The sequence below is a fragment of the Homo sapiens genome, chromosome X (assembly GCF_000001405.40).
Source record: "Homo sapiens chromosome X, GRCh38.p14 Primary Assembly".
Taxonomy (NCBI): domain Eukaryota; kingdom Metazoa; phylum Chordata; class Mammalia; order Primates; family Hominidae; genus Homo; species Homo sapiens.
The window spans coordinates 45,036,785-45,049,058 of NC_000023.11; the positions used below are offsets into that span (position 1 = coordinate 45,036,785).

General features: G+C 43.5%; 1 protein-coding gene across 25 annotated transcripts in view, besides 1 other annotated feature; it reads left to right on the plus strand.

Annotated features, from left to right (window-relative positions):
• The window catches only part of KDM6A (lysine demethylase 6A), a 239,592-nt gene that overhangs the window by 163,597 nt on the left and 63,721 nt on the right, over nt 1-12,274 (plus strand). For all 25 annotated transcript variants that reach the window (NR_111960.2, XR_007068200.1, NM_001419809.1 and 22 more), the window contains one exon: nt 871-905. Coding sequence is in view for 22 of the 25 variants with exons in the window: in NM_001419809.1 (NP_001406738.1) it covers nt 871-905 (35 nt within the window). In the remaining 3 variants the exon portion in view is untranslated. The remainder of the gene's footprint in view (nt 1-870; nt 906-12,274) is intronic.
• Nucleotides 4,896-5,640: an enhancer, noted in NCBI's record as "H3K27ac hESC enhancer chrX:44900925-44901669 (GRCh37/hg19 assembly coordinates)". NCBI's record gives its function as "activates a minimal SCP1, AML or CMV promoter by ChIP-STARR-seq in naive H9 embryonic stem cells {active_cell/tissue: H9 hESC(naive)}" and the evidence as "EXISTENCE:reporter gene assay evidence [ECO:0000049][PMID:30033119]".

Below are 12,274 nucleotides of genomic sequence, written 5' to 3' on the forward strand. Positions count from 1 at the left end.
TTTATGGATGTCTCATAAATATCAAACTAAATATTTTGGTAAATCCTCATTTTATTCTACTCTGTTTAAATCTCAGTTGTAGATCATTACTCTTGAGAGAAAAATGTCTGCATAGGTAGGATGAGTGCCACATGGCATAAAACTGTTGAATTTGAAACAGTTTGAACCATCATGAGTGCTACAAGGTGGTTGGTCACTCAAACGGGAGAGCATATTTTCTATTTAGAGACTTTAGGCTATTACAGTTTAGTAGATTTGGATAGTTTACTTTAGACAGTCTACTTGATTACTTGATAGCTATAATAATGCCTGATGTCACAACAAATGTAGAGTACCTACTTTGAGCCAGTATTACTCTTTTCAACACCAGGCTCCTTATTGTCTTTGTAAAACTTATTTTTCTTTGAATTTTTACATCATCACTGATTTGTACTTTGGTTTTAATATTTTTTAATTAAATATTGATTTTACTCTTTTTTGACTTGGGATTCAGTTTTTAAATACTGTGTTTTGAAATGTATAGATTATAAAGGTTTTCTCTCTTTGCTTAATGTTGCCATTTTGAACTTTGTAAAACATATATTCACTTGCTATAGATTTAATGCTAATTTTAATAATTGCATTGACAGAAATTTCATTTGATAATGACCAACAATGAATACATGTGGTTTCTTATCATGATTGTGTTCTTTAGTGTGTTTGTTTGTATATTCTATTTTAGTAAAAGCAAATAAAAGTTATGTTTTTCTATTACTTAAATCTATATAGTGTAGACTGTGATAATGTTTGATGCTTTGTTATTCTTACTTAATTTGCCCCAAATTCTGCTGTATTGTTACTGATTTTTTTGTCTTTCCTCATCCTTTGCAGTTCAATTTCACATTGCCCACTTATATGAAACCCAGGTAAGTATTTTAACTTATTCTATTTAAAACAAAAGCAAACAAAAATCATTACTCCTATCATGCTTTACTGAAATCAGAAGTGTACAGATAATTTAATGGAGTTCTGGGCGTTACTTCTTAGGTAAATTTTGTATTTTATACTCATTAAATGTGATCAAGATGCTGCTTAGTAAAACAATTATTCCAAGGAGTGCTTGCTGTGTACAAATTAATTCCATTTAATATTTTCCTTTAAACTTGATCCATTTGCGGCTGGGCGCGGTAGCTCACACCTGTAATCCCACTGGTTTGGGAGGCCAAGGCGGGTAGATCACTTGAGGCCAGGAGTTCAAGACCAGCCTGGCCAACATGACGAAACCCCATCTTTACTAAAAATACAAAAAATTAGCTGGGCATGGTGGCAAGCACCTGTAATCCCAGCTACTCGGGAGGCTGAGGCACAAGAATTGCTTGAACCTGGGAGGTGGAGGTTGCAGTGAGCTGAGATCTCGCCACTGCACTCTAGCCTGGGCAACAGAGTGAGACTCTGTCTCAAGAAAAAAAGAAACAACTGAACTTGATGTAGATCATTTGCAAGCTCAAATGGCTATATTTAAGATTTATCTTATTCTTGATGCCAGATGCCTTCCTTTCTTTTCAGAATGTTTATAGATGGTTGTTGTAATGCGTTTTTTAAAGAATTCTTTTGCTTTTTCTTAAGACTGAAATAACTCTTCTATGTGTCATTATTGGAAAGGCATCAAGAGTCACCTCTTGATGTCCTTGCCATTAATTTCATGGCTCCTTCACTTTAAAAAACTTTTAAATTTTAGAACATCTTGGTTTTGTGTGTGTTGATTAATACACGGTCAAGATTGATACATCTTGATTTTGCTTAGTTGTATGATAAAAGTATAACACATTTGGGGGGGGGTGGTTGGAGGCAAGGGGAGGGAGAGCATTAGGACAAACACCTAATGCACGTGGGGCTTAAAACCTAGATGATGGGGTTGATAGGTGCAGCAAACCACCATGGCACATGTATACCTATGTAACAAACCTGCACATTCTGCACATGTATCCCAGAACTTAAAGTAAAATGAAAAAAAAGTATAACACGTTCATTTTAGGCAGTGGTATGGAAAATCAGGAATAAATTTGTATGAGACTCAAAATTAGGTCATCATAGTTTACATAAATTTTTAACAGCTTTTTAGGAAACAAATACTGTTGGTTTTTTTTTTATGCCTACATAATTTATAAGGTCTGTTTTGATGTTTTGGCCCAAGTGTTACAATAAGGCATATATGTGCCATGCAGAGTTCATACCCACCAGATACAAGATCCTGCTACATCCCGTTATTTATATTGTTATAGGATGTAATCAGACAGTTTGAGATCATTTATGCTGGTGGTTCCCAAACCCAGCTCTATGGCAGAATTATTTGGGAAGCTTTATAAATCAGCTGTCATGGGGAGTTTTAAAAAATTAACATCAGATTTCTGGGTACCTCAACCCTCCCCATCTGCACTTTGCCTCCCCATCCCCCCTCTGCCTCCCCATCCCTCCTCTACCCCATACTCTAGTTTTTCTAGTTCTCTATGAGATCACTGGTCTGTCATTAGCTAAAGAAGCAGAAGTTTTTTTAACCTTTATTTTTAATGAGTATTTTTGCCGGAGATGGAATTCTGTTTATCTGACTGCTTTGAAATTCACAATACATTGTCTTTTGGCTTTCATTGTTTCTGATGTGGAGTTGTCTGTTGGTCTTACTGTTTAATCCTGTGAAGGTAATGTGGGCACAGGGCCCTCCTCCCATTGATTCATTTGATAATTTTTTTTTTTTTTTTTTTTTTTTTTATTGATCATTCTTGGGTGTTTCTCGCAGAGGGGGATTTGGCAGGGTCATAGGACAATAGTGGAGGGAAGGTCAGCAGATAAACAAGTGAACAAAGGTCTCTGGTTTTCCTAGGCAGAGGACCCTGCGGCCTTCCGCAGTGTTTGTGTCCCTGGGTACTTAAGATTAGGGAGTGGTGATGACTCTTAAGGAGCATGCTGCCTTCAAGCATCTGTTTAACAAAGCACATCTTGCACCGCCCTTAATCCATTTAACCCTGAGTGGACACAGCACATGTTTCAGAGAGCACAGGGTTGGGGATAAGGTCACAGATCAACAGGATCCCAAGGCAGAAGAATTTTTCTTAGTACAGAACAAAATGAAAAGTCTCCCATGTCTACTTCTATCCACACAGACCCGGCAACCATCTGATTTCTCAATTTTTTCCCCACCCTTCCCGCCTTTCTATTCCACAAAACCGCCATTGTCATCATGGCCCATCCCCAATGAGCCGCTGGGCACACCTCCCAGACGGGGTCGTGGCCGGGCAGAGGGGCTCCTCACTTCCCAGTAGGGGCGGCCGGGCAGAAGCGCCCCTCACCTCCCGGATGGGGCGGCTGGCCGGGCGGGGGGCTGACCCCCCCACCATCCTCCCGGACGGGGCGGCTGGCCAGGCAGAGGGGCTCCTTACTTCCCAGTAGGGGCGGCCGGGCAGAGGCGCCCCTCACCTCCTGGATAGGGCGGCTGGCCCGGGGGGTGGGGGTGCTGACCCCCCCACCTCCCTCCCGGACGGGGCGGCTGGCCGGGCAGAGGGGTCCTCACTTCCCAGTAGGGGCGGCCGGGCAGAGGCCCCCCTCACCTCCCGGACAGGGCGGCTGGCCAGGCGGGGGGCTGATCCCCCCACCTCCCTCCCAGACGGGGCGGCTGGCCGGGCGGGGGGCTGACCCCCCCCACCTCCCTCCCGGATGGGGCGGCTGGCCAGGCGGGGGGCTGACCCCCCCACCTCCCTCCCGGACGGGGCGGCTGGCCGGGCAGAGGGGCTCCTCACTTCCCAGTAGGGGCGGCCGGGCAGAGGCGCCCCTCACCTCCCGGACGGGGCGGCTGGCCAGGCGGGGGGCTGATCACACCACTTCCCTCCCGGACGGGGCGGCTGGCCGGGCGGGGGGCTGACCCCCCCCACCTCCCTCCCGGACGGGGCGGCTGGACGGGCGGGGGGCTGACCCCCCCACCTCCCTCCTGGATGGGGCGGCTGGCCGGGCGGGGGGCTGACCCCCCCAACCTCCCTCCCGGACGGGGCGGCTGGCCGGGCGGGGGGCTGATCCCCCCACCTCCCTCCCGGACTGGGCGGCTGGCCGGGCGGGGGGCTGACCCCCCCACCTCCCTCCCGGACGGGGCGGCTGGCCGGGCAGAGGGGTCCTCACTTCCCAGTAGGGGCGGCCGGGCAGAGGCGCCCCTCACCTCCCGGACGGGGCGGCCGGCCGGGCGGGGGGCTGACCCCCCCACCTCCCTCCCGGACGGGGCGGCTGGCCGGGCAGAGGGGCTCCTCACTTCCCAGTAGGGGCGGCCGGGCAGAGGCACCCCTCACCTCCCGGACGGGGTGGCTGGCCGGGCGGGGGGCTGACCCCCACCACCTCCCTCCCGGACGGGGCGGCTGGCCGGGCAGGGGGCTGACCCCCCCCTCCCCCCTCCCGGACGGGGCGGCTGGCCGGGCAGAGGGGCTCCTCACTTCCCAGTAGGGGCGGCCGGGCAGAGGCGCCCCTCACCTCCCGGACTGGGCAGCTGGCCGGGCGGGGGGCTGACCCCCCCACCTCCCTCCTGGACGGGGCGACTGGCCGGGCAGAGGGGCTCCTCACTTCCCAGTAGGGGCGGCCGGGCAGAGGAGCCCCTCACCTCCCGGACGGGGCAGCTGGCCGGGCGGGGACTGACCCCCCCCCACCTCCCTCCCGGACGGGGTGGCTGCCGGGCGGAGACGCTCCTCACTTCCCAGACGGGGTGGCTGCCGGACGGAGGGGCTCCTCACTTCTCAGACAGGGCGGTTGCCAGGCAGAGGGTTTCCTCACTTCTCAGACGGGGCGGCTGGGCAGAGACGCTCCTCACCTCCCAGACAGGGCGGCGGGGCAGAGGTGCTCCCCACCTCTCAGACGATGGGCGGCCGGGCAGAGACGCTCCTCACTTCCTAGATGGGATGGCGGCGGGGAAGAGGCGCTCCTCGCTTCCTAGATGGGATGGCGGCCGGGCAGAGACGCTCCTCACTTTCCAGACTGGGCAGCCAGGCAGAGAGGCTCCTCATATCCCAGACGATGGGGGGCCAGGCAGAGACGCTCCTCACTTCCCAGACGGGGTGGCGGCTGGGCAGAGGCTGCAATCTCGGCACTTTGGGGGGCCAAGGCAGGCGGCTGGGAGGTGGAGGTTGTAGCGAGCCGAGATCACGCCACTGCACTCCAGCCTGGGCACCATTGAGCACTGAGTGAACGAGACTCCGTCTGCAATCCCGGCACCTCGGGAGGCCGAGGCTGGCGGATCACTCGCGGTTAGGAGCTGGAGACCAGCCCGGTCAACACAGCAAAACCCCCTCTCCACCAAAAAAAAACGAAAACCAGTCAGGCGTGGCGGCATGCGCCTGCAATCGCAGGCACTCGGCAGGCTGAGGCAGGAGAATCAGGCAGGGAGGTTGCAGTGAGCCGAGATGGCAGCAGTACCGTCCAGCTTCGGCTCGGCATCAGAGGGAGACCGTGGAAGGAGACCGTGGAGGGAGAGGGGAGAGGGGAGAGGGGAGAGGGGAGAGGGGAGAGGGGAGAGGGAGAGTCATTTGATAAATTTTAATACTGATTCAGATTAAACAAAACAGAATAAACTCATGGCAAACAGTATATAATTATTAGGTGACACTGTAAGTATATGAAAGGATTAAAAAAAAACTCTACACCAGTGATTATAATATGGATTTTCATTTTCAAGTGAAAAATTAAGAGAAGCAAGATGGCCTGCTTACCTACCTATTAAAAGTTAGTTTTTATAGTTCCACCAATTTTTACCAATGGACCCTATTTATGAATATGGATTTAGGAAATTTAAGTGAGATGTATTTAATGGCTACTGCTAGGTAAACAATAGTTCAAGGGAAGTTTCTCTACTTCTCTACATAGGAAGAAGTTTCCCCACTTCTCTACATAGGAAGAAGTTTCCCCACTTCTCTACATAGGAAGAAGTTTCCCCACTTCTCTACATAGGAAGAAGTTTCCCCACTTCTCTACATAGGAAGAAGTTTCCCCACTTCTCTACATGGGAAGAAGTCTTCCCCACTAATAAATGAAGAAGGATCATTTCATAATCCCCGAGGGCCCTGTCCCGACATTACCTTCACAGGTTTAAATACTAAGATCATAATTAAAACTAAAGTTATGGAATACCACTTTACCTAGAATGGTGTTAAAGAAATGTTAGCAAGTACAATGGCTTTGTGGTATTGAGCTTATAATGTTTGAAAGGCAAAAAGGTCGTGGCCGAGCGCAGTGGTTCATGCCTGTAATCCCAGCACTTTGGGAGGCCAAGGTGGGTGGATCACTTGAGCTCAAGAGTTCCAGACCAGCCTGGGCAACATGGTGAAACCCCATCTCTACCAAAAATACAAAAATTAGCGGGATATGGTGGTGCATGCCTGTAGTCCCAGCTGCTTGGGAGGCTGAGGTGGAAGGATCTCTTGAGCCTGGGAGGTGGAAGTTGCAGGGATCTGAGATCTCGCCACTGCGCTCCAGCCTGGGTGACAAAGCGAGACCCCGTCTCAAACAAAAAGGAAACGAAAAAAAAGGTCTTTTGTAGAGATATGAGTAAAGGATTAAAAAAATTTTTTTGTTGAATTTAATAATAGGCATTTGGGTTTGTTTAATTTTAATGAGAGCTCATCCCCTAACCCTGTATTTTTATCTTTTATGATCTTATAGACAAAGCTGTTAATACTTTAGTAGATTAAAAAATATTTTAGTAGATTGGCCGGGTGTGGTGACTCACACCTGTAATCCCAGCACTTTGGGAGGCCGAGGCAGGTGGATCACTTGAAGCCCAGAGTTCAAGACTAGCCTGGGGAACATGATGAAACCCTGTTTCTACTAAAAATTAAAAAATTAGCTGAGTGTGGTAGCATGTGTCTGTAATCCCAGCTACTTGGGTGGCTGAGGCAGGAGAATCGCTTGAACCCGGGGAGGCGGAGGTTGCAGTGAGCCAAGATGGCGCCACTGCACGCCAGCCTGGATGACAGAGTGAGACTGTTTAAAGAAAAAAAAAATGATTCTCATAGGTTTCTATGTATATTGTCATACCATCTATAAATAAAGATAACTTTGCTTCTCTGTACATGTGCCGCACAATGATGTTTTGATTAACAAAGGATCACATATATGATGGTGGTCCCATAGGATTATAATAGCATATTTTTACTGTACTTTTTCGGTGTGTGTTTTTTGTTTTAACTGAACCTTTTCTATGTTTAGATATTTACCATTGTATTGTAATTGTAGTATTCTGTATAGTAACATGCTGTACAGGTTTGTAGTCAGAAGCAAGAGGCTATACCATATAGCTTAGATGTGTAGTAGGCAATACCATCTAGGTTTGTGTAAGTATACTCTGATGTTTGCACAACGATGAAATTGTTAAGTGACACATGACTGTATAATGTCATATCTCCAAATATATTGTCAATTATTCTTGAACATTTATATTGATGAATTAATTTACCTTCCCTGTTTTATTAGCTGGGACCTCCAGCTCATTTTTTCTACAGTAATAATAGTATTAACGGGGCTTCTTTTCTTTTTCTTGAATTTAGTGAAATAATTTGAGCAGTTCACTATCTTGATTCTTATAGCCTTTAAGGTTTCAAGATAGAGGATTTCTCCCTTTTCATTCTGTTACTGAAATGTTAGTTATTTTTGAATAGATAATCCAAAATGAAAAGTTTTGAAAGAATACACAGTGAAGTATCCTCTTCCTTCCACTTCCTCAGGCATCTACTCCCCTCCCTAAAGCCATCAATGTTACCAGTGGTTTTTAAATCCTTCCAGAGAAACTCAGTGTATATATAAGCAAGTCCACATATGTTTGCATGTTTATTTCTAGTATTTAATTTTATTCAAATGATAGCCAATAATGTATGTTCTCTTCTGACCTTGCTTTAAATTTTAACTTAATCTTGTATCTTGGAAATCATTCTGTATCAGTACGTGTAGAGCTGCATCATATCCCTTTACATATAGATGTACAGTTAACTAATTTAACTACTCCCCTTTGAGGAATAATTACAAATAATAATATTTTGAATAACACTGTTTATAAGAATTGTTTCATTTTTAACACTTTTCTGTCAAGCATTAATATATTACCAAAACACTATAGACTTGTGTATGTTATTATACTATAGCAAAATAATATAGATAAGTGCTATAATACTTATCTATATTAGACATCTATAATATAAGTATTTTACACGAATCCAAGAACTCTAAATAAAGAAAAAAATTCCAGCTGATACATAAGTTTGTGATAAATATGTAGGGTTTATTTCATGAATACATAGGATTTTACCATTTTGACCAGTTTTAAGTGTACAACTCACTGACATTAAGTAAATTTGTATTGTTGTGAATCTGTCACCACCATTCATCACTAAAACTATTTCATCATCTCAAAGTATCCATTAGGTAATAATTCCCCATTACTCCCTTCACTGGGCTCCTAGCAGCCACTATTCTACTTTCTGTCTCTGTGAGTTGACCACTCTAGGTATCTCATAAAAGTGGAATCTGCCAGGCGTGGTGGCTCATGCCTGTAATCCCAACACTTTGTGAGGCTGAGGGATGGATCATTTGAGGTCACGAGTTCGAGACCAGCCTGGCCAACATGGTGAAACCCCGCTTTTACTAAAAATACAAAAATCAGCCAGGCATGGTGGCAGGTGCCTGTAGTCCCAGCTACTCGGGAGACTGAGGCAGGAGAATCGCTTGAATCCAGGAGGTGGAGGTTGCAGTGAGCCAAGATCCCACCACTGTACTCCAGCCTGGGTGACAGAGCAAGACTCTGTCTCAAGAAAAAAAAAAAAAAAAAAAAAGTGAAATCATACAATATTTGTGCTTTTGCATCTGACTTATTTCACTTAGCATAATGTCTATATGGTTTAGCATGTGTCAGAATTCCATTCCTTTTTAAGACCGAATAATATTCCATTGTATGGATACACCACATTTTGTTTATCCATTTCATCTGTTGATGGACACTTGGTTTGCTTCCAGTTTTTGTCTGTTGTGAATAGTGCTGCTTGACCATGGATGTGTATATAAGTTGTTAGAGTTCCTGCTTTCAGTTCTTTTTGCAATATATCCAGAAGTGGAATTGCTGGATCATATGGTAATTCTATGTTTAATTTTTTGAGAAACAGTCATACTGTTTTTCCTTTTTGTTTTGAAGCAAGTATTACATCCGAACCTAATAAAAGACAGTATAATAAGAGAGTCAATATACAGACTGATATCATGATGAATATTGGTGTAAAAATGCTAATAAAATATTAACAAACAGAATACCTTATCTCATTAAACACAGCAATATACTATGACCAAGTGTTATTCATTTCAGGAATGCAAGGTTGACTGAATCTTCGGAAATCTATTAATATTGTAATAATAGAGCTAAAGGTAAAGTCAAATTATTATCACCATAGATTCTGAAAAAATCTTTAAATTCAATACCCATTTCTAATAAAAACACTCTTATACATAGGAATTGCAGGTTACTTTCTTATCGTGATAAAATGCATATGCTTTAGTTTCAAAGTCAGAATTTTACTTAAGGCCAAATTCTAGAGACCTTTTCACTAGAATCAGGAGCAAGGTGAAGATGCCTACTATTTCCATTAGTCCTTGGTATTATACTATAGGTATTAGCCAGTGTAGTTAGATAAGAGAGAGAAGTCAGTTACAGGCACAAATTAACATACAGAATTAATAAGCTTCAACAACAATAGTCAGAACATAACAGGAAAAAATTCTATTTAGAGTGTTCAGCAAAGTATATTAAATACTTAGGAATAAACTTTAGAGAGATACTGTGACTCAGCAGTATAAAGATGTTGATTCTCCTTAGTGTAACAGAAATGTAATACAAAAATACCAACAAACTTTTGTTAGGAGTTAGCTAAGTTGATATGGTAAAACATGATAAAACGGGTGGGAGGATTGTGTAGGATATACTAACCCAATAAAACTTGTATAATTAAAAATGTGGTACTGGCATGTGAATAGACAAATTAGTGAAATATCCTAGAAAGCCCAGGAATAGACCCAAGTACATGTAGAAGCTGAGTATATCATAAAGGTATTGTTCTTAAATTCTTGGGGCCTGTAATGTCCATCCCATAAGTATAATGTTCTTGGCTCTTACTTTTGTAGCTCTATTCTGGCAGTCTCTTTTATTGGTGGTGATGATGGTGGTGGTGGTGGTGGTGGTGGTGGTTTGGAGTGTCTAGTTCATTTATACTTAATTTGATTATTGATATGGTTGGATAAAGTTAGCTGTCATTCCTGTTGTATTCTTTGTATTGTATTGTTTTTCTCTGGTTGCTTTTAAAAGGTTTTTCTCTTTATATTTGGTTTTCAAAAATTTGACTTCAATGTGCTCAGATATTTTTTTTCTTTATAATTATACTAATAGTATTTTAAGTCTGGGGTTTGATTTTTTTTTTATCAGTTTTGGAAAATTCTCAGCCATTGATTTGTCAAATATTTTTTCTGCTCCACCGTTTTTCTCTTCTTCTCGGACTCCAATTACATGTATGGTAGACTATATGCTATTGCCTCAAACATCTTAGATGCTTTCTTTTTTTTTTTTTAACTTTTAACTTTTGTGTGTTTGTATGTGTGTGTTTCTGCTTCAATCTGTATGCTTTCTAGTGACTTGTTTTCAAATGCATTGATTTCTTTTTTTTTTTAAATATACTTTCCAATCTGCTATTCAATCCATATAGTGATTTTCTTTTTTAAATTTCAGATTAACATTTTTTCAATTCTGGAATTTCCTTTTGTTTCTCTTTCTGGAGTATGATTTTTTATACATTAATTCATTAGGATTATGTTTTTCTTTTGTCCACATTCTTCAAATATCTGCTTGCTTTTTTTTTCTTTTTTTTTTTTTTTTTTTTTTTTTTTTTGACAGGATCTGGCTCTCTTGCCCAGGCTGGAGTGCAATGGCATAATTTTGGCTCACCACAACCCCTGCCTCCCAGGTTCAAGCGATTCTCGTGCCTCAGCCTTCCAAGTAGCTGAGACTACAGGCGCGTGCCATCACACTCAGCCTGAATATCTGCTTTAAAATTATCTACAGGGCTAGGCGCAGTAGCTCATGCCTGTAATCCCAGCACTTGTGAGAGACCAAGGTGGGCAGATCACCTAAGGTCAGGAGTTCAAGACCAGCCTGGCCAAAATGGCGAGACCCCCATCTCTACTAAAAATACAAAAGATTAGCCAAGTGTGATGGCGTGCCTGTAATCCTAGCTGTTCGGGAGACTGAGGCAGGAGAATCGCTTGAACTCAGGAGGCAGAGGTTGCGGTGAGCCAAGATTGTGCCACTGCACTCCAGCCTGGGCGACACAGTGAAAGTGCGTCTCAAAAAAAAAAAAAAAAAAAAACTACAAATTTCAACATCTGAGTAATTTCACAGCTGGTTTTCATTAATTTTCTTTTCTTTTGAATATAGGTGAAATTTTCCTGATCTTCATAAGTTTAATAATTTTTATCCTGCATATCATGAGTAATACATTGTGGAGATTGACTATATTTTTCTGAAGATTGATATATTTTTGCTTTATTAGCCAGTTAACTCACACTCTAAACTTTGTCACCCTTGTAATGGCAGCAACTGAAATCTCTCTCTAGTTCTTTTAGGCTGCTCATTATCTGTTCTGTTCATGCATAATTCGGCAGTCAGAGCTTTGGGCAGAGTTTATGTGTGGAATTTGGTGTTTCCACTCTCTGTCTCCTGACTGGGATTTCTCCCCTCACTTCCAACTCTTTATGGTAGCCTCAAAAGCTGTCCTATGATTCTTCAGCCTAGTAAGACTGCCATTTCTATTTGAGTTCTAGCCAGCCAAAGTACCAGTTGAAGCCTGCCTTCAGGTGAAAATCCAAGAAAAAGGGAGTTACTCATCTAGTGCCGTTTCCTTCCTTTAAGTGTGAACTTTTCCTTTGGTTTTGCCTGATTTTGGTCTCTCTCCAGTGCCATCTGGTAGTTGACTTTTATATTTTATCCAGAATGTGAAGCTGTGTGTGGAATGTCACTCCAAATATTGTCAGAGGCAAAACTTCTACTCAACACTATTAAAGATAAACTCAAGTTACTTTTTTACACATCGTTTATAATTGCTAATTAATGTACTACTATAAGCATCCATTGTATTTTGCTTCTACTTGTCTAGTGACAGACACTTAGGTTGCCCCCCAACTTCTCCATACTACAAGCAGTACTGTTCAGAACATTACCTGTGGAAAGGTTTCCTTGGCATACATA